At 42.7% G+C, this 22,638-nt stretch overlaps 1 protein-coding gene and 1 long non-coding RNA gene across 10 annotated transcripts in view; one reads left to right on the top strand and one right to left on the bottom strand.

Moving 5' to 3' along the window:
• The window catches only part of CDH13 (cadherin 13), a 1,173,672-nt gene that overhangs the window by 41,692 nt on the left and 1,109,342 nt on the right, over nt 1–22,638 (bottom strand). For all 5 annotated transcript variants that reach the window (NM_001220488.2, NM_001257.5, NM_001220489.2 and 2 more), the window contains one exon: nt 10,699–10,841. In NM_001220488.2, coding sequence (NP_001207417.1) covers nt 10,699–10,841 — 143 coding nt within the window. The remainder of the gene's footprint in view (nt 1–10,698; nt 10,842–22,638) is intronic.
• CEDORA (CDH13 antisense oligodendrocyte and neuron associated lncRNA) overlaps nt 1–22,638 on the top strand; it is a 52,560-nt gene that overhangs the window by 14,001 nt on the left and 15,921 nt on the right. Inside the window, exon 2 of one of the 5 annotated variants that reach the window (NR_199710.1) lies at nt 18,928–19,118. The exons of 3 other annotated variants lie outside the window; for them this stretch is intronic. This is a non-coding gene — a long non-coding RNA (CDH13 antisense oligodendrocyte and neuron associated lncRNA). Of the gene's footprint in view, nt 1–12,363; nt 16,402–18,927; nt 19,119–22,638 lie in introns of those variants that run through there. One more of the 5 variants, NR_199711.1, reaches the window with a different exon arrangement.

The raw sequence follows: 22,638 nt of genomic DNA, 5'->3' as shown, positions 1-22,638 counted from the left end.
TTCAATACCATTGAGCCTTCCAATCCATGAACATGGTATATCTCTCCGTTAATGTGGGCTTAAATAGGGAGACAAAAATTATCTTAGGCAGTCATTTGTAGTTTTCATTGTAGAGGACTTGCATATCTTTCTTTAAATTTATACCTTGCTATTTGGTGTTTCTGATGATATTGCAAACAGTATCTTTTAGAATTTTATTTTCCATTTGCTTACTGCTGGGGTATATAAAACAATTAATTGTGTATACTGATCTTATACCTGATGACCTTTACTAAAATCAGTAATAGATTCTCTGAAAATTCTTTTAGATTATTTTAGGCATATCATTTATGAATAAAGAGATTTCTTACTTTTAATTCCTAAGCCTAGTATTTCTTTTGTTTGCCTTCTCGCTCTGGCTGGGACTGAGGTCACAAAAAAAGTTTTTACTATTTCACCATTGAGGAAGATGTTTGCTGTAGCAGCAGCTCCTTCTGTTATTTTTTTTTTAAAACTAGACTAAAAAAGTTTCCTAGTTTGCTAAACATTATTTTAAAAAAATCAGAAATCAACATGAATTTTTTTCAAATGCAACTCTTGAGATGATCATATCATTTTTGTGGGATTCATTAATATTTTTGTTAAGAATTTAAAAATTTATGCTCATGAGTGAGATCGGTCTGCAATTTTAATTTCTTGTAAGATCTTGTCAGGTTTTGGAAAAACCTTGTCTCATAAAAAGAGGGATTAAGTATTTCTTCTATTTCTGTTTCTGGAAGGGTTTGTATAAAATTGTTTTTCTTTCTTAAATATTTGGAAACATGTAGCAAAGCCATCTGGATCTGTAGTTTTCTTTTTGGTTTTCAAGAACATTTTTTTTTTTTCCATAAGCACTGGGCTAGTTAAGATTTTCTTCTTTTCTTTTTCTTTCTTTTTTTTTGGGACAGAGTGCAGCTGGGATTACAGGCGTGCACCACCATACCCAGCTAATTTTTGTATTTTTTAGCAGAGAAGGGGCTTTGTCATGTTGGCCAGGCTGGTCTCAAATTCCTGGCCTCAAGTGATCTTCCTGCCTCGGCCTCCAAAGTGCTGGGATTACAGGCATTAGCTACCATGCCCAGCCTCTTTTTAGGTTATTTTTGATAAGTTTTAATTTTGGGGAAACTTGTCCATTATGTCCAAATTGTCAAATATATTGCATAATGCCGTTCATAATATCTTTGTATCTTTTTGATGGCTATAGTCATTTTCCCTTTTTTATTCCCAGTGTTGGTAATTTGTGTTTTTTTCTTTTTTTGCCCAACAGTTTCGATATGAGTTTACAATTTTATTCAATCTTTTTATAGGACAAACTTTTGGATTTGTTGATTTTCAATTTTTAAAAATTTTTTAGAGACAGAGTCTCGCTCTGTCACCCAGGCTGGGATGCAGTGGTGCGATCTTGGTTCACTGCAACCTCCGCCTCCTGGGTTCAAGCGATTGTCCTGCCTCAGGCTCCCAAGTAACTGAGATTACAGGCACATGCCACTGTATCCAGCTAATCTTTGTACGTTTGGTAGAGACAGGGTTTTGCCATGTTGGCCAGGCTGGTCTCGATCTCCTGACCTCAGGTGATTCACCCGCCTCAGCCTCCCAAAATTCTGGGATTACAGGAGTGAGCCACCGTGCCCAGCCTGGATTTGTTGATTTTGTCTTGTATATTTGTTTCCTATTTTCTAGAATTTTCCTCTGAGCACTGGTTTAGTGCATCCCACAAGTTTTGACATTTCATATTTCTATTTTTGTTTTTGATTATGAGTTATTTGGAAGTGTACTGTTTTATGTTCAGTCAGTTAGGGTGTTTCTGGTTATATTTTGCTACTAATGCTTAGTTTAATTCCATTGTGATTGGAGGATATACTAGAAATAATTGCAGTTAAAAACGTTTGTTAGACTTTTCTATATGCTCTGCATGCAAACAATTTAGGTAATTTTCCTTGGGAATTTGAAAAGAATGAACTCAGTTGTTGAGTTCAGAGTTCTATATATGTTAGTTGATGAAATTTGTTAATTATTTTGTTCAAATCTTTTACAGCTTTACTCCTTGTTGTTTTTTCTTGAAGCTGATATGAGAGATGTTTTAAGACTCCCACAATGATTGTAGATTTGTCTACTTCTCTTTTTAGTTTTCTCTGCTCTGTATATTTGGAATCTGTGCTGTCCAGTACATACAGATTTAGGACTGTGATGTCCTTCTTTTTGATACCTCCCTTCATCATTATGAAATGGCCTCTTTACCTCTTGTCATGTTTCTTGTTTTAAACAGGGGTGTCCAATCTTTTGGCTTCCCTGGGCCACATTGGAAGAAGAATTGTCTTGGGCCACACATACAATACACTAACACTAACAGTAGCTGAAGAGCTATAAAAAAAGCGCCAAAAAATTTCATAATGTTGTTTAAAGAAAGTTTAAAAATTTGTGTTGGGCCGCATTCAAAGCCATTCTGGGCCACATATGGCCCACAGGCTGTGGGTTGGACAAGCTTGTTTTAAAAAATACTTTCATGTGTTTTTAGGAGAGACTGTACTATCAAGGTATATTTTTCTTTTATTTCCATTCTTTGTTCTTTTATTTAAAGTGTGTCTATTGTATGTAGCATCCAGTTTGCTGATTTTTAAAAATAGTCTGATAATATTACTTGAAATATTTAATCTGTTTACATTTTGCATTTTACTGTGGTATAATTAGGTATATACTTACTGTATCACCTTGTTGTTCTATTTGGCCATCTTTTTAATGTTGTTCCCCCTCCTTTCTTATTTTGGATTAGTCAAACCTATTTCCTTCTATTAATTTGTTAGTTTTACTTTCTTTTATATTCTTTTAGTGATTACCCTAAGGGTTATACAATATAGATACTTGACTTATTAGAGTCTAATACAAAGTATTGCTTTAACTACATCTCCAATGCTGCAGAAACTGTTTTAACTATGTTTATAGCCTCTCACTTTTTCTGTTACTGCTGTCATGCATTTTAGTTCTATAAATATTTTTAACTCCTTATGTCCTTACAATTTTACTTCATTTACTTTTTTACTTTATACATATTTAACTTTCTATTTTTATTTATGTTTCTTGTGTTTCTATGCCTCTCTGGCATCATTTTCCCTCTGCCTGAAATATTCTCTTCAGTAAAAGGCATAAACCTGCTTGCAATACAATTCCATTTTTTTTTTTTTTGCCCCAAAAGTCTTTAATTCACCTTGATTTTGAAGGGAAAAATTTGAGAACTAAAGAATTCTAGGTTGGTAGGCATCTTTAAAGTGCTCAGAGAAATGTTATTCCATTGCCTTCCACATTCCATTATTTCTATCTAGAAGTCAGCCATAAGTCATATTGTAGCTCATTTGCAGGTAAATGCCTCTTTTATTCTCAGGCTATTTTTAACATTTTCTCTTTGATATTGTTTTTCATCAGTTTGATTTCAGTGTTTGAGGTGTGTTTTTCTTCAAATTTATCCAGCTTGTGGTTTGCTAAACTTTTTGATTTAATAGGGAGAATGTCTTTCATCAGTTTTGGAAAATTCCTGGACATTACATCTTCAAATTTTTTTTTCTGCTCCATTAGCACTCTCCTATCCTTCTGTAACTCCAATTCCACACACTAGTCTTTTGGCAGATTTTTTCCCGTTCTTTATCCTCACTGTGCTTCCCTTGTGGTGTTTGCTATAGATTCATATTCCAGGTTAAAAATCCTGTGTTCTGCTGTTAAGTCTACTTACTGAGTTTTTAATATGATAATATGTATTTCAGTTCTGGAATATCTATCTGATTCCTTCTTAAAGATTTCAGATCTCTTGTGTAATTCTCTCTGCTTGAATCTATCTTTTATTCTGTCTCCTTGAACATACTAATCATGTTTATTTTAATGTTCTTGTGTGCTAATTCAAATATCTGGATCCTCTGTAGTCTGATTTTTCTCTTGTTCATCACTTACACATTCTTGCTTCTTTACAGGTCAAGTAATTTTTATAAAACTGTAAATTGGGCATTATTAAAAAAAAGATTGGAGAGGCTCCAGATGACATATGGTGCTATGAGTTTTTCCCTCTCCTGTATTAGTCAGATAGGATGATGTATTAGTCCATTTTCATGCTGCTGATAAAGACATACCAGAGACTGGGCAATTTAAAAAAGAAAGAGGTTTAATTGAATGTACAGTTTCACATGGCTGGGGAAACCTCACAATCATGGTGGAAGGCAAGGAGGAGCAAGTCCCATCTTACAGGGATGGCAGCAGGCAAAGAGAGAATGAGGAAGACGCAAAAGTGGAAACCCCTGATAAAACCATCAGATCTCATGAGACTTATTCACTACCATGAGAACAGTATGGGGGAAACTGCCCCCATGATTCAATTATCTCCCACTGGGTCCCTCCCACAGCACATGGGAATTATGGGAGTACAATTCAAGATGAGATTTGGGTGGGGACACAGAGCCAAACTGTATCAGATGGAGCCTTGCTTCATCAACTTAGTAAGGGCTTGAAAAGGGTCAGGCCGCATTGCAAGTTGAACAAGACTGAGTCAACTTCTGGCTTACTCCTGTTGCTGGGCATGGCCCTACTGGGATTTTGATTGAAAGTCTGGAGTATCTTAGTCTGAAAGGCTCCAGGAAATCCAATTCTTCCCTTCAGTGGTTACCATCTTAACTCTCCAGCCATCCCACACCCCATCCTTTAACTCCTTGTACCTTCAAAATCTGGCAAATATCTTAAATGAGAGAATGGCTATGTATTTGAGGAGAGCTTGCTTCCTTTGGTAGGTCTCTGTTTTCTGTGAGACCCAAGGAGATTTCACTCTGTCCTTTAGGGCATTTGTCCACAGAGGAAAAGCAGCCCCTCAAGTTTCCAGTTTGTCACAAAAGCTCCCTGTGATTCTGACACTCGTTTCTAATTTCTTTCCCTCCATCCTAGGCTCTCTGCATGGGCCAAGCCTGACTCTCACCTAGAATCAGAAAATGCACCCAGAGAAAAAAAAAGGTTTTCTTTTTGAAATGACTTTTCCCTCTTTGGTATTTTAGTTTATCTAGTTGTCAATGCTTCTGCAGCTCCCTGATTCCTTTACAATTAAGATTTTTTTATATTATCTGATTTTTATAATTTAACTAGATTTTTCTAGTTTCACAGTGGGGACACTTCCGTACTGTATCCTACATGGAAGTTCCCGAAGCCATATATTTTATCAACATGTTTTGGCATAAATTCCTGAGTTACTCTTTGTTTGGAGAAATCAATTTATTTTGGTTCAGCTTTCCTAGTGTTATATGCCAAAAATCCTTATTCTCTCCTTCCATCAAATAAATTAAATTTCTATAAAACTAATAAAAACAAATGCTCACTTTGGATAAAGTTGAGAGATCAGTTAGCACTATTTACTTTTTTTTTGAGACGGGGTCTCATTCTGCTGCCCAGGCTAGAGTGCAGCGGTGTGATCTTGGCTCACTGCAGCCTTGACCTACCTGGGTTCAGGTGATCCTCCTTCCTCAGCCTCCTGAGTAGCTGGGACTACAAGTCATGTGCCACTGTGCATGACTAATTTTTGTATTCTTTTTCGGGATGGAGTTTTGCCATGTTGCCCAGGATGGTTTTGAACTCCTAGGTTCAGGCAATCTGCCAACCTCAGCCTCCCAAAGTGCTAGGATTACAGGTGTAAGCCACCTTGCTTGGCCTACTAACTTTGATCTAATAGATAGTGTTGGCTTTTCCGGGTTAAACATAATACTAGAGGTAAGTTTTTGGTGAGGCAAAAAGGAGCTTTTAAATAAAAGTTGCTCTGATTTATAAGGGCTTTTTAATTTATGTTCTTTTTGCTGTAAGTCCTTTGGGTCTTGTTCGAGATTATTATTCCTAACGATGGTTTTGTATGTTAATGCCAACCTGGTTTCTATTTACCATTACACCTTTGGGGACATTTTAGCTCTCTGGAAACATCTGTGGTACCAGATTTTAAATTTCCGTGTCTGATATTAGCGTTAACAGAGTTAGACAACAAGTGGATTTCAAGCTGTATATTTCTTGGGTCATGGAAGGATCATTCCTGGCTCTATTCTTTCCTTTCTGAAACCCCCACCTGGGTGGGATTAACATGTAGTGAACATTTAATATGGCTTTTGATGGAGAATCTAGAGGGTACAGCACTTCACTCATTTCTCACAACGTTATAAGTAGGAATTATCTTCTTCATTTTGTATATGTAGAAAATGAGACTCACAGTCTGTGAGAAGCTTTCACAGTTACACAGCCAGACAGTTCATACAGGTGTATGCTGAATGTTGAGAAAACATAGATGAGACTCAATGAGTCTCAAAGATGAGAAACAGCTGTAAGGTATCATTAGGTCCTGACTACATTGTAAATTATTTCTTCAAAATCAGATAGCTAGTAAGTGGTATGGCGGAAGTTTAGACCAGATTGCTGCTTCCACACAGAAATTTTAAAGACTGTTAAAAATGCAAGAAACTAAAGGTAGAAAAATGCTATCCTAATGATACGACTTTTAGAAAGCCAACTAAATTTGGTGTCTGTTTCTTAATCTGCAAATTTTGGTTTTGTTCTTCTTAATATTCGGGACACGGTATATACGCACACAGTGTCACTTAACTGATTACTGCATACATGTAAAGAAGGCTCTCGCTTCTGGTAACAATTCAAGTATACCGCATTTCTAGTTTCTTTGGATTTATAATTGCACAAAAAATTTCACAAAGAAATGCCAGCCATGCTACGCTATATTTCATCCATGCTTCTTGACATTCTTTGCTGAGAAATTTCTCCACAGATACAGATACTTCTACATACTACAGAACCCTGCCATTGTTACTTTAGCTGATCAGTAATGGATACTTTTCATTTTACACAGAATTTTAAACAATCTTGGCTTATTTTCATCCCTGATTCTGTACTCAGTACTCTGTCCAGACCTCTTCCTTTTGGAAAGCTTTTCTGTTCTGATAAGTCGCATCTCTTCTGCATGGGCAACTCCCTAATCAAAATCTCTCCTTATTCCATTTCTATCTTGCCAGCTTCTTCTGGGACGTAATCTCAACACCCACCCTCCGAAAACAAGAAGGACCAGTCCTCTGAAACTCACTCCCTGTTTACGTTGATGAAATAGTCATTCCTGATTTCTGGACCAGAAACCTGAATATTGCATTTCTCTAGCTCATGTTCAGTATAAGCTCTTGACAAAGATTTGTTTCTTCCTTTCAGATGTTATCTAGGTTCTTCCCCTCTGGTCCGTTTATGTTATGCTTGCGCAGACTCTGACCCCATCAACTAAGATACCTGCTATGGTTTCTAACACATTTACCCACTGCAGGCTGACTTTTCCCCAACTAACTTCACTACCTTGGCTTGGTCCTCTCTTTTCTCTTACCTGTATTTCTGCGGCAGCTGCCTAATGCCTCCCTCCTCACATCTTGCCATCACCGCGTCCATTTTCTATGCTGCTATAGGATGTATCTTTCTTTTTTGTGGAGGGGAGGTATATTTTTTTTTTAGTAGAGATGGGGTTTTGCCATGTTGGCCAGGCTGGTCTTGAACTCCTGACCTCAAGCGATCTGCCCACCTCAGCCTCCCAAAGTGCTGACATTGCAGGCATGAGCCACTGTGCCTGTGTATCTTTGTAAAACACAATGTTTATTCTGGAGGCAAGTGAGTGACATTTTCAAGGCCAAAGTCCATGGCATAGCATGTGGAGCATTTCACGATTGATTTCATGACTTATTCTACAGGCATGTGAGTGCCTGCTCTAAGTCAGGCACCATGGTAGGTGCTGGGCATTCAGCACAAGACCCAGTTCCAACCTTAGAACAGTCCGGTATCCACACGCTTCTCTGCCCTTATCTTTGCACACAAAGAACCTGCCATGCTAGCTTCCACTAATGCTGACCAACTTCCCAACTTCTCACATCTTTATTCTACTAGAATGCTTTACCTGTTTTTTTTTTTTTTTAAATAGTTAAGTTAAGCACTTGCTACAAGCAAGGTACTGTTCCAAATGCTTTATAGGTAATGACTCCATTAAATCTTGCATTACTTTGCTAGAGTTGCCATAACAAAGTGCCACAAAGGAGTGGCTTACACGACAGAAATCTATTGTCTTACAGTTCTGGAGGCCTGAAGTCCAAGACTGAAGCATCTGCAGGTTTGGTTCCTGCTGAGGGATGTGAGGAAGGCTCTCCTCCCAGCCTCTCCCCCAGCTGCTGGAAGTTTACAGGGAATCTTTGGAACTCCTTGACTTGCAGAAGCATCACCCTGATCTCTGCCTTCATTTTATGTGGTGTTCTCCCTGTGTGCATGCCTGTCTTCAAATTCCCCCTTTGAGGAAGACATCAATCATATTGGATCAGGGCCCACCTTACTCCAGCATGACCTCACCTTAACTAACCACATCCGCAACAAGCCTGCTTCCAAATAAGGTACATGCTATGGAACCAGGGATTAGGACTCCAATACGTCAACATTGAGAGGACACAGTTCAGTCATATCAATTGTTAAAGTAAATTAAAATGGAAATTAGGCCTGAAGAACCACTGGGCAGAAAAAGCCAGTTAGGTGTCATAAGTCACCTTAACCTTGCTTGATTTGCAAACATAAGCAAAACTGAACGTGAGCTATTTCTTTCTTTTTTTTTGAGATGGAGTCTCACTCTGTCACCCCGGCTGGAGTGCAGTGGCATAATCTCGGCTCACTGCAACCTCTGCCTCCTAGGTTCAAGAGATTCTCCTGCCTCAGCCTCCTGAGTACCTGGGACTACATGTGTGTGCCACCATGCCCAGCTCATTTTTGTATCTTTAGTAGAGATGGGGTTTCACCATATTGGCCAGGCTGGTCTCAAACTCCTGGCCTTGTAATCCACCCACCTCAGCCTCCCAACGTTCTGGGACTACAGGCATGAGCCACCGTGCCCAGCCAACATGAGCTATTTCTTATAAATGACTATGTTAAAGAAAAACGAAACTTAAGGCTAACCAATCAGAAGCTGCCAACTAACTCAACACCAGAACTAGCATGCCCTACCTTTAATCCACATATCCTTCATCACGCAGGTGAGATGTCCCCTCTCTCAGGCAGCTCTCCATGACTACCCCCCAGGCTGGACAGGGGCTTCTCTGGGCTTAGCTCCATCAGAACAGTTAGGACACTCTACTGTGATCTTCTGTGTACTTGACTAACCTTCCAAATAATTCATGAGCCCTCTGAACACAAGGACCATGTATTATTCATCCATGAGTCTCCAGGACCAAGCACAAGATCTGGTCCAGCTCTCAGTTGCTGAACATTGTCTACCTGATATTTCATCGTGTCAGTTTCCTCCTCAAGAAGTTTCAGGGTCTCCTGGTTCCCTGTTCTATCAAATGAATCATCTGGCTTTGAAGATGTGACTTTTCCACATACATCCAAATAGATTCCTACATACGCACTTATAGCAGACACAACAGTTATTTTTTCCTTTTCTTACCTCCTGTGCTGTGCCCCCTTCTAGTTTTGATTCCTCTGCCTTGGATTTCTGGGTAATGCCACTCATCCGAATCCTACCCGTCTTTCAAGGCTAACCCCAAGGCTCACCTTTATTTTGAAGCACTCTCTACTTATTGTGTGTCACATGGATTGCTCACTTCTTAGACTTGTCTCCTAATGGTTTGTGTGAGTAGCCGGCATACGAGGACCAGGACTGAGAACTCTTAGTTCACCCTTGTTGAGTATAACAATGGGCACCTATAAATATTCATCTTGATATGGAAGGACTCAAAACTGAATCTTTAGCCATAAACAGCTGGCTTTTAGGAATAATAGGGAGAACAAAACTTCTTGTGTGATTGACACAATACACATTGCAGCTTAACATGTCCCCAAACCAACTGGAATCCCCTCATCTCAGTTAACGGCAAATCCTGTCAGCTCTGCATTCAAAGTATATAGGAACTCTCTTTTTCTCATCCCCTCCTAGTCTCTGGTCCAGGCCACCATCTTGCATAGATTACCATGCACTCTCCTAAGAGGTTGCCCTCCTTCTGCCCTTGTGCCCTACAGTCTGATCTCAAAGGAGCAGAGAACAATCGTGGCACTTTGAACTTTGCCTCCTTTCTGCACGTCAGCTCCATGAGGACAGCTTTCTTTTTGTTTACTGCTGCGCCCCCAGCATCTAATCAGGGGCTGGCATATGGATAGTGCATTACCATCTTTTGAACGAACAGCAATTGCTTTGTGGTTGTGCAGCCACTAACTGAGGGTACCTGATGCCTTTCCTTGGCAGCGTGTCATAATAGGATAAAAGCTACAAGAACAATTCAATGGTCAGGGTCAGTGATGTCCTCTGGGACTTACTTTCAACTTGTATTAAGTCCAAGAGCCTCTTTGCAAATGAGAGCATGACACCAAGACAAAGCACATCAGCGTGGCTTTCTAACCTCCACGCCTGCCCAAGATGGGACAGGGTGAGTTCATTGCTCTGACCTCTCACCAGACATTATTCACTTTCCAAAAAGATCTGAGGATTCTGGGACTTGGAGATATTACTGAACTCAACATGTGTATATTTAAACATTTACTTTGCTGTTCCCACACACTTACATTCTTCCCAAGAACACCCCTGGGTGTATCAGAAGAAATTTAAAAATGTAAAAGTATATTTGTAGCAGAAAAGTATACCCTTGATGGTCTTTGTCAAGTACTCACCACTGTCAATTGCCAGGAAGAGAGCAGTGTACACGCTGTTGTCGACAAATGGGGACTCACGGTCCAGCACAGCTGTGGTGTCAACAGTCCCATTGATGGGGTTAATATTCAGCCAACCTGCTGGGTCCTTGTAAACAGAATACCTGAAAAAAATCCCCACAATGTCAGACTCTGCATTCAAAGTAGATTCAAGAAACATTTACAGAGTGCAGGGCATGAGCTCCTAGGCTAGGTGCTGGATCCTAGGTAACAAAAATCCAAAACCATCATTTCTGTTACAGTTGCTCATTCACAAAGTCAAGAGGCCACTGACTCTGGGTCTGCTTTGTGTTAAGCACTTTGCATGTGTGCCTCCTTTATTCCTCTTGACACTCCCAGGAGGAAGATGTTCTTGCCATCTGCCAAGCTCTCACAGAAGCAAAGCAGAATTCACAGCCCAAATCCTGAGTCCACGTCCAGTCTTGTTTCTTTCACACCTCAGATGTATCTCGTATGTGGACTAGTGGGAGAAGTGCTGTTGTGAAGGTACAAGCAGGGCACATCAATGCTTGGAGGAAGAACTCACTACCTCTGATCCAGGGCAATATTGGGCACCTCACAGAGAATGCAGCATCCAAACCAAGACAGGAGGAATAGATAGGATGTCATCAGAGAGTGAGAGGACAGACAAACCAGGAAGAGAGAATATGAGTTAACAAATTGTATTAGTCCATCTTCACACTGTTGATAAAGACATACTCAAGACTGAGTGATTTACAAAAGAAAGAGTTTTAATAGACTCACAGTTCCATGTGGCTAAGGAGGCCTCGCAATCATGGCGGAAGGTGAAAGGCATGTCTTACGTGGTGGCAGACGAGAGAGTGAAACCAAGCAAAATGGGTTTCCCTTTATAAAACCATCATATCTCATGGGACTTATTCACTATCACGAGAACAGCATGGGAAAGACCCGCCCCTATGATTCGATTACCTCCCACAGGGTCCCTCCCATAATATGTGGGAATTCAAGATGAGACTTGGGTGAGGACACAGCCAAACTATTACAGATGGAACAGAAACACTCATTAGGATGTAGGTTACGCGAGGGCAAGAAATTTGTTCACTGCTGTGACACCAGCTGCTTGAACACTGCTTAGCCCATATGCGACACTAAATATTTGTTGAATATACAGATATTTAGGGACTAGAAAGTAGAGGGTTGTGTTTGAAACAGTTTCTTTAAGGGAACTAAAAGTTAATGAGTTTTGAGAAACAGATTAGACAATATTATAGAGAACCTGAACTACTGTTTTAAGGGGTTTTGACTTTGGATAATGGGAAACCATCCAAGATTTTAAAATGTTACTTGTTTTGAGGTTGCTCTTTTGAGATTTAAACAATATAGATGCATAGAGTAAGAAATAATAGTCTTATCTATCAGGGAGACTCAACTGGGCATGACTCAGCTTTCTTTGAATTGGGTGGCTTGGATAATGTGCCACTTGCAGACCTAAGCCAGAAAGATGCTGTTGGCACTTTGCTGCCATTTCCTACCCATCTTTGAAGTACATCCCCATGAAGTGACATGGGAATCTTTACACTGGTAAAGATGCATGAAGTTGATTTTCTCTGCCTTGTATGGCCAGATTTGGGTCTAAGGATGTTTAAAACCTGATTTAACCAACAGGATTGAAAATCTCCAACTGAAGGGCTTGGAGCAAGTTAACCCCGAGTCTTCACGGGAAAAAGATATCTACCTCCTAATCCTGGAACTTGGGAATGTTACTTCATAGAGCAAAGACTTTGCAGAGCTGAGTTAAGGTCTTTGAGATGAGATTATTTTGAGTTATCTTGGGGTTGTTTGTGGTTTGCTAAATGCAATCAGAAGTGTCCTCAGGGGGAGGCAGAGGAGATTTGAGACACAGAAAAGGAGAAGACCACACGACCGTGGAGGCAGAGATTGGAGTGATGTGGCCACAAACCAAGGAATGCTGCAGCCACCAGAAGTGGGGAGTGGCAGGAAGGACCCTCCCCTAGACCTCTAGATGGAACGTGGCCCTGCCAACGTCTTGGTTTTGACTCAGTTAGACTGATTTTGGACTTCTGTCCTCCAGAACTGTGGGAGAATAAATTTCTAGCCTCCATGTTTGCAATACTTTGTTACCGTGGCATTACTAATTTATTATAGTAGGTATAATATCCCCACTTACAGATGAGGACTCTGAGGCACAAACCAACAGCTACGCAAATCGTAGAGTCAGGACGTGGGCCCAGGTGGTCTGACCTTGGAGCTGCGACCCTGAACCCACACTCAAAACTGCTGCTTCCCAGCTAACTTAGTGACTCAGGGTGGGTGGTCAGCAGGTATGTTTCACCTGAAGGATCTTACTTCGAAGAAGATACGAATTCTGAGAAAAGGTGGCCTCTGAGGATAGAGTTAAGTTGAATCGAAGTGTGGTGGGTGGGATTATTCAGATGTAGGTGGAAGCCAGAGGGATGCCTCCTGTGTGGCCAAGGAGAAGAAGAACTGCCCTTGTCCATGACTTAAAGGTCATCTTGGGGGCTGCAATGGGATTGTTACCTGGGGGAGGCTGTGGTCACTGAAGAAGGGATGGTCAACTTGGGTTGTTGAGAAGGGGAGCCAGGGAATAAGAAATTGCTGGCTGACAAAGGGAATGGGCATCTATGCAGTCACCACAAGCCTCATGGCGACCCAGGACAGACAGCAATTCACCTACCACCCTCGCCTGGCCACCATCCAGAGCCCCTCCGAGTGTTCCCAGCCTCTCCTGGAGTCTCAGAACCAATCATCTGGAGGTCTTTGGGCTTCCAGTCAGCATTGACAGATGCTCTGATACAGCGCTGTTGTAAATTTAATTCACACAGAGGCGGTCTGGGTTGGTATCAATCCTTTTTGTGTTGGGGTCATGTGAACTGACCTGAGAATCAAATCAAGTTTTTGTCCTGCAAAGTGGATGTACCAGACCCCCAAACTGCAGAAGGACGCCAGGAGAGGCTCCTGCTGATGCTTCCTGGAAGGCGTCTGGCCTGTTCTTTCCTAAAACAGCCTCGGGGTGCAGCCTCCCTTTAATATTAATAGTAACACAGCTGCAGCAGCATCGAGCCTTACATTGCGCCGGCTGGACACCGCTCCAGGAGCTTCCAGCATCTATGCCTTCAGCCCTCACACCAGCCCTGGGAGGTTGATAATATTATTCCTCCCCTTTTACAGATGAGGAACTGAGAGGCCTAGAGATATGTGAACTTTGCCAAGATCATTGGCTAATATGGGGCATGGTTGGGATTCGCAGGCTGGATCTCTGGTGCCAAGGCCTGCTGTCACCCTCTGCTGCTTCCCCCCAGCCGTTCACATTGCCAGCATCACATGAGTGTTAGAGTCATGGACTCTGGAGAGGAAAGGACCTGGGTTCTAACAGTGAGCCTGGCAAGCTACTTCTCTGTGTTTCTACTTCCTCCTCTGTGACTCGGGGACAGTCCCAGTGGTGTTCTGGGGTAGCTGTGAGGGCAAACTGAAGCTGACACAAAGGGCTTGGTCTTGTGCGGGGCGCCCTCGGGGGAGCCGTTGCAGAGTCAGGCTATGGGTGTGTTAATGGCTCACTGGGGTCATGGCCCTGTGTGTCCTCCCTGATGTGACTCACACGGTCCCCTGGAATGTTTCAGAAACATCCGACTCAGCAGAGCCTAGGGGAACAATGTTTTGATGCTGCAACTGTGACAGGGGACAGATGGGGAGAACGGATGAGGCGAACGCAGGGCTTCCACATGCCCTTGCTGCTGCAATGATCCTTTCACTATTTTGTGAAAACAGAAGCGATGAATTACTCATGAGAATGAACTGCTTTAAAAACACCAGGCTTTCATTTAAAGAGTCATTTATGCTTCCACCTGGCAAATTTTTACTGTTTCAAGACCCCACTCATACGTCTCCTCTCGTTCATCCAGTGTGACTTTCCCAGTAGAATTAATCACCTCACTAGGTCTGTGCGAGGCACATGCACTGGTAAAAATGCCTTTGGGAGCCTAACACGGGCCCTGACGGCTCTGCCATCTCCACTAAACTCTAAGCTCCTTGGTGTCAGGATAGGTAAAAGTTGGTCAATAGACACACAGAATGCTTCCTTGGGCCCAGCTTGGTGCTAAACCCTTTAAGAGCATCACTACATTTATTTTTGTGACTCATGACAACCTGATGAAGTGGGTATCATCCTTGTTTTAAGGTTGAGGTAACCAAGAATCAGAGAGGCTTAGCAACTTGTCAAAAGCGGCCCAGTTAATAAGAGACAGAGCTGGAATGTAGCACCAGCATGCTGGATTCCAGGGGCTGGGCTTCTCGGTACACAGTGTTTTTCATGCCTAAGGCTGGGGTGGTGTGCTCTGCACCCCCAGGGCCGAGTAGAGTGCCTGGACGCAGACGGTGCCCGGTAAAGGTTTATTACATCTTTTCTCCTTCTGTTGGAACAATCATGGGGATGGAAAAAGCAAAGAAAAAAAAAAAAAAAAAAAGAAAAAAGAAAAAAGGCAACTCATCAGGTAGCAAGTTTCCTGTTGATCCAGGAGTGATTGGTAGTGGTTCAACATATTTGAAATAATGAAAGTTTTAAATGAACCGCATTCTATTGCCTGATTACTCAACTCAGTTTAGAAGATAAATAAAAACTGAATTAAATAAATTTGGCTTTCATGTTTGGCGTACAAGCAATGCTCTTTGATGCTCCCTCTGTCATTCCTTTTTTGTCCCATGATGCCATAATTTTGTTGTACAATTAGCATGTTTGCTTGTTTCTTGTCAAAGAAGCAGTTGTATTCAATAAAATGCTTAGAGACATGAACTCGGAGGCAGTCCTCAGAAACAATACTCAGCACGGTTAGGCCTGCCTGCGCCACATTTCCAGGGAAAGCCAGGGTTTGGGTGATTTTACAGGACAATGTCTCACTCTTTTTCCTCCTTAAAAAAATAATCAAGTATCCAGAGCTGTGCTATTTAACTGAGTTTTCACAGGACTCTTTCTGCTCCCCTCTGTTTGCTTATTTTATTTTATTTTTTGAGACGGAGTCTTGCTCTGTCGCCCAGGCTGGAGTGCAGTGGCAGCGATCTCAGCCCACTGCAACCTCTGCCTCCTGGGTTCAAATAATTCTCCTGCCTCAGCCTCCCAAATATCTGGAATTATAGGCACCTGCCACCATGCCTGGCTAAATTTTCTATTTTTAGTAGAGCGGGGTTTCACCAAGTTGGCCAGGCTGGTCTCGAACTCCTGACCTCAAGCGATCCACCTGCTTTGGCCTCCCAAAGTGCTGGGATTACAGGCATGAGCCACCGCACCTGGCCAGTTTGCTTATTTTGTTTGGTGCCTCCTCCCATGGGAGACCTCAAGGAGGTATGCCTGCCCCACAGATGCCCTGGAAGGACAGCTTGCTGCTCCTACTCAGAAACACACCTGCAGACAGAGGAGGACAGACGGACACTCATTTGCTGAGCACCCATGTAACATGAACTAAGAGCTGGGTGGAGACAATGAACGGTGGAGCCATCGTTCCCGATGTGGAGGGAGAACAGCTCAAGACCACGGAACAGCCTGCTCTCCCGCTTCCTGGCTTCCGTGCGCTTTTGTCCAATCAGGCTTTTTGACCAATCGGCCAGGCGCGCTATGTAAATTTCTGACATTTTCAAAGCTGTCTTTTTAATAAACCTTTCAGTGTAAAAATACTAGCGTGCAAGATGTTTTCAATGCTTCTAGGCCTGAAAAATGCATACGCCTTATTAAATTGGAATTTCCGGGCAATTTATCTGTAATGTGAACTTTGCTTGTTACAGGAAAAAAAAAATCAAATTAAAAGCTGAGCTCATTTCAGCCTGTAATGTAGCTTCACAGAAGCTGCTCTGAGTGCTTGCCAAGCCTCGGCCTCTTCTGGGTGTCGGTGTTGGGAGACGCAAGGCAAACTGATTAACAGAATTCGAGTCGCAGGCAGCGCAGTGGGGGTTACTGGGGCCTGCGCCACCCTGGAAGGCGGGCTCACTCTCAGCAGGGCCCCCTCAGAGCAGGGAAGAAAGCTTCCAGGCAAGTGGCCAGGGCCAGCTGTTGACCTGGAAGGACTTCCAGAGCCAAGGGCTGCCAGCCTCTGCCCTCAGGGGCTCAAGTATTGGTGGGAAGGTGAAAGAGATCAAAGGTTTGACAAGTCCCTTCTGCAGGCTTCTTGGGGTCACTCGCTTTCTGTGAGGTAGGGCAGCAGTCCCCAACCTCTTTGGCACCATGGACTGGTTTCGTGGAAGACAATTTTTCCATGAACAGGTGGGGGATGGCTTGGAGATGAAACTGTTCCTCCTCAGTTCAGGCATTAGATTCTCATAAGGAGTGTGCCGCCTAGATCCCTTGTGTGTGCAGTTCACAATAGGATTTGTGCTCCAATAACAATCTGATGTTGTGGCCCAGGGGTTGGGGCCGTCCGTGGCCCAGGGGTTGGGGACCCCTGATGTAGGGGACCCATGTTTGCGCAGCATGGTTGCCAACATTACATGACTGAGCATAGCTTTCCTTTCAGTTTAGACTTAAAAATGTCATAAAGTAATATTGGGCAATTAGTGCACAATAGCCAAATGGATCAATGCAATATAGCAGAGCACTAGACATGGCACAGATTATATACGTATCAAATTTATATATAGGGAGATTATAGATATAGTAATAGATGGAAGATGGATCTATCTCTATATATGGCATATATATACACACATATATATACACACACACACACATATATATATATACACACACACATATATATAGTAGGATAGGAAAGACTATGAGAAACGTAGAAAATAAAAACTACGAAAGGAGAGGAGATACAGGGTATTTTTATATTCCTGCTGAAGGATACAAACAACCCTGTAAAACTGTAGGAAAGAAGGGAAACAGTAGGGGAATTCTTCACACCCTATTTAATTTCAGTCCACTGGACCCCGTATTTATTATTAAAAGCAGAACCAGAAAGAGACAGAACTCCCAATTGAAGGAAATACACTATCTTAAAATAGCTCATGTAGCTATGGCCCTGAGTGTAAAGTAAAGGGCATATTTCAAATCTTCTGACAAAATGTATGGATAAAATTGAATGGCTAGTGAATTCCAGAATCCTAGATTAGTTAGACAGTCACAGCCCATCACAGTCCAGGGTACTGTTCTCTTCCTGTCCCAGGAAACCAGAGCCAAAGAAAGCAGTCTCAGTAAACAGAAAGGACTGCCATGGTCTCTAGGGCCCTAGAGGATCCATCTGGACCTGCCTGACTTTCTACCTGCATTTTCTATCTCTTTCCTCAGCCTTCCGAAGTTACAGACTCACTGGCCTTTCTTTAATTCCTTGAAATTAGCAAATTTCCCAGGGATGGGGTGCCACAACCAGCAGATGTGGACAAGAAGAGTTGTCCAGTGAGTGGCCTGGGCAGGGCCTCTTGGGGTTGGGAGGATGGGATACTTCTTGCCTTGCCTTTCATGTAGGTATGACCTTCTGTGACTCCATAACAGCTGAGAACAGGGCAGGAGCTCTTGACATCTCCAGTCCCTTCCCTGGATCCCCTTCCCAGGCATCCCAGAGCTCCTGGTGAAATCCTGTGGACATCTGCATGAGGCTCTAGCACATGACAATTCTGACTGGCATATGGCAGCTGGCATCTTCTGATGGCACATGGACCAAAACTTTGCTTTTTACAGACATTCTGATCCCTACCATGACAACAAGTAATATATATCATGCCCAAGAGAATCATCACCTTCCACACATGCAGTGGACCGAGGTAGCTGTGGTGTGGGTCCACTTTCTTTGGTTATTGTAGGAGGCAGGTGGTAAGACGACTAGGGATCGTCTTTTGTGTAGACCACTGCAATGCACCTGATTCTTTGCTTCTCTTCTGCTTGCTACAGTCCATTCTCCAAAGAGCAGCCAGTGTTAAATCACAGAGTGTGAATCCCCGGCTTAAAACCCACCAATGACTTCCCATGGGGTATAGAATAAAATCCAAACTCTTAACCATGGTCTCTAAGGTCCTAGAGGATCCATCTGGACCTGCCTGACTTTCTACCTGCATTTTCTACCTCTTTCCTCAGCCTCCCTAAGTTACAGACTCGCTGGCCTTCCTTTCATTCCTTGAAATTAGTAAATTATTTCTGGTCTCAACACATTTCTACTTGCCTCATCGGATAAGTCTTAGATTTTCTCATGTGTGTCTTGTGCTTTGTAGGATCTCAGCTCCAACACCAAGGCCTCTGTGTTCCCTAGAGAAGCCACTCTGGATGGTCTCTCTGAAGTCTGCCTCCTTCCCTGGCCAGCTCTACAACTTAGAATGTGAGCTCCAAGGGGCAGTGACCTCATCTATCTTACTTAACCCTTCATACATAGAATCTAGAAGAGTGGCCCGCACACACTGAGTGGGTAGGTACTCAGTTGTTGAATGCATGCATGAGGGAATGAATGAGAGTAGAAACCTTCTTTAACATGCATTGGTTGACCCATGTGCTGGGTGACCCAGAATTCTAAAGTGCTCATTCATCCCTCCCCCATAGGCAGGTCTCTCAAAAGAGCCACCTGTCTCTCTTGTCCCAGCCAAACTCCCACTTCTATGCTGCTCCAGACATTCCCATCCCTTTAGTTGCCTTGGATCTGATACATGCTGTCAAAGGGGGCTTAGTTAGGTGGGTTTGTGTGCTGGGGGTCCCGAAGACCACTCCCAGGTTCAGTGATTTGCCAGGAAGGCCCACAGAACACAGCATATTGTCATATTCAATGGTTAAAACTTATCACAGGGAAAATACGCAGGGAAAACAGCACAGAAAAAAGGCACATGGGGCAACATCCTGGGGAAACCAGGTACCAGCTTGCAGGAGTCTGCTCCCAGTGGGGTCACACCGGACGTGCTTAATTCCAGGAGCAAGTTGTGACAACATATGTGAAATGTTCTCCATCAGGGAAGCTCACCGAAGACTCAACATTCAGGGTTTTTTTTGGGGGGCTGGTCACGTAGACACCCTCCACATGGCATTAGCAAAATTCTTGACTCCCAGGGGGAAAACAGATATTCAGCATAAACCACATTTGTTCGCGCAAGCAGTTTAGGTGCAGTGAGTCACTCTTATCAGCTAAGAGAGTGGGAGCCCTCCCCACATCCAAGATTCTACATACCAGCTGAGGCCAACCTTGTAGGCAGGTCTTTCTAGGAACAGCAGTCTCAGGCCTGTTGTGTGAGCTCTTTTTTGCATAGTCCATGATCAGGACAAGGAAATGGTGAATAAGAACAAATTCTACTTATCTTTAGAAATCACTAAATTCCTATTTCTCCTAAACCCCCCCTTTTTGTTTTCAGACGGAGTCTCCCTTTGTTGCCAAGGCTGGAGTGCAGTGGTGCAATCTGGGCTCACCGCAACCTCCGCCTCCTGGGTTCAAGCGATTCTCCTGCCTTAGGCTCCCAAGTAGCTGAGATTACAGGCATGTGCAACCATGCCCGGCTAATTTTTGTATGTTTAGTAGTGATGGGGTTTCACTATGTTGGCCAGGCTGGTCTCAGACTCCTGACCTTGTGATCCACCTGCCTTGGCCTCCCAAAGTGCTGGGATTACAGGCTTGAGCCACCACACCTGGCCCAAAACCCTTTTAATTCTAGAGACTACATATTGAAACCCCCAAGGAAGCTGGAATCACAAGAAAACATGCTCTTGTAGGCACAGTGGTAGGGGGTGGCTCCAACTCCACTCGCATTTACCCAAGGAAATGCTAGTTTGGTCCTCTGTGTTAATTGCAGAAAATTCAGACAATACGGAGGAGAAAAAAGAAAAAAATTAAAATCACCCTAATCCACTTCCAGAGATAAGCACTATTAACATTTTTGCCTAGAGGCTTCCAGCCTATGTATCGATGTATACATAAACACACACGTTTTTAATGTGACGTACTGTTCACTCGCTCATTTGGAATAAACATTTGCTGGGTGTCTGTTTCATGCCAGGCACCGCGCTTGGTGTTGGGAAGACAGCAGTGTATTCCCTCCAGTTTTTGGAACTTACACTCCAGCAGGGAGACAGGATATAAATTAGTAATTACACAAATGGTTATTTAATTACTCTCGTGACAAGGGCCATGCCAGCAGGCTCCCTCACATCGTAAATCATGCATTGTGAGTGTTTTCCTATTTTTCAGCATTAACTTTCTGCTGTTGTGTCTACAACTGGAAGCGCACATTCATTGATCACTGAGGAGGTGGCGTACGATGTATGTATTCATATACATTACTGTCTGCCATTGCCTCATCAACCTGGGAGGTAGATATTACCACCTTATTTTACACATGAGAAAACAAAGACTCAGAGTGGTCTAGGAGCTTGCCTGAGTCATGCAGCTTTCCAGCAGCAGAAGTGTGGTTCCAATGTGGATCTCTGCCTCCCAAGCATAGCTTGATTTTTGTTTGCCTTGTGAATAGCCCACGAGGGTTGGGCATTTGTTTGTGCCACTGGTTCTCCAATTTGGGTGTGTATCAGAATGATCAGGGCTGTTGATGATATGATGGGACCTTTCCATTTTTAACATGTTTTCCAGGTGGCTCTGATTCACCAAAGTTTGAGAACCACCATTCTGAGAATAATGATTTAAACTCTGAGGTGGAAACCAGGTCTATGTCCCACAGCTGGGCTTTCCTTAGTGGGGAATAACTCAGGAACATAGGACTGGAATTTACAGGATGGCAATATTTCCCAAAAAAAAAAGAACCCTATTACATAGATATAAAGCTTTCTTAAAATTATATTTCTGCTTATAAAAATCATACACATTTGAGAAAGGTTTAAAATCACACAGCACATGTGTGTGAATTTAATATCTTCATCACTATCAATGGTGAAACAATATTGGCTTAAACTGTTCTTTTATTGGAAGGCTCTTAGTAACTTCGAAGTCAAACTTCGAGACTTACCACTGAGATAAACTACTCAGTTGTGATGTAGATATCAAGGAACTTGAGTCTAACAGCGCTCACTAATAACTTAAGTCTGAGAATGATTTAGTCTAGGAAATAGGCGCTCTTTGCCATGTAGTCACTTTCAATAGTGGGCAGGAAAGGGGTGGGGCCACAGCTAGGTGCCACTGATTGTGGGCATGGTCAGCATGAATTACCAGCGTGCCTGCAGACAAACGCCTAAGAACCACTGTTTTGAGCTCCCACCCTTTTCTGCGGACTCTCTAACCTCTTCCTTTGTGTGTGAGCCCCACGTGCACCGAGCCTTCCCTGGCAAACAATGGAACTGACATTTCCTGGGCACCAGCTACTTGCCAGGGACTGCACACATCTTCTCTGAAAACCTCCTCACCACCTGTTCCAGGCAAGCAAGTCTGCTCCTAGTTTCTTCTGGCAAAGGTCATACCGGGCGTCTTGTTCGAGGCCATTAATTCTTTGTTAGAATTTACCAAAGGTCTCCCAACTGCTGCAATAGGACCTTTTTGTGCCTGCAATAAGATTTTGCTGTGGCCGGGCTCTTCCTAGTCAGGGCTTGCTAGTCCATTTTGCAGATTTATTTCCAGGGGTGATTGACATAGTTTCCGCTAGGCGCTCACTGCCACTGCCCTCCCCCACCCCATTTTTGAAACCTACGTGAATACAGCAGCTATTAGAGTAAGGAAACAACGTCTTCACAACTTTATAAGTGTCTTTGCAAAGACATTTATATCTCATATAAAGGGACATTTGACACTTCGTAAGGGTCATTTCGTTGTTGCTTTTGACCAAATTGACTGCCAAGCAATACAGAGAAATACAGACAAAGAGATTCAGGGTATAAAGCCACAAATTTAACAATATCATACACATTGAGTAAATTAGGAAATAAAAAATTAAACAGTAATTAAACATTGAGAGACTAGGACCTTAACATATTTAGTTACCATATTAACAGGCTGAGACTTCAGAAGC

Source organism: Homo sapiens, chromosome 16, assembly GCF_000001405.40.
Source record: "Homo sapiens chromosome 16, GRCh38.p14 Primary Assembly".
In the NCBI taxonomy this organism is placed as follows: domain Eukaryota; kingdom Metazoa; phylum Chordata; class Mammalia; order Primates; family Hominidae; genus Homo; species Homo sapiens.
Note: the sequence above shows the minus strand (reverse complement) of the source record. Positions and strands in the feature narration are given on the sequence as shown.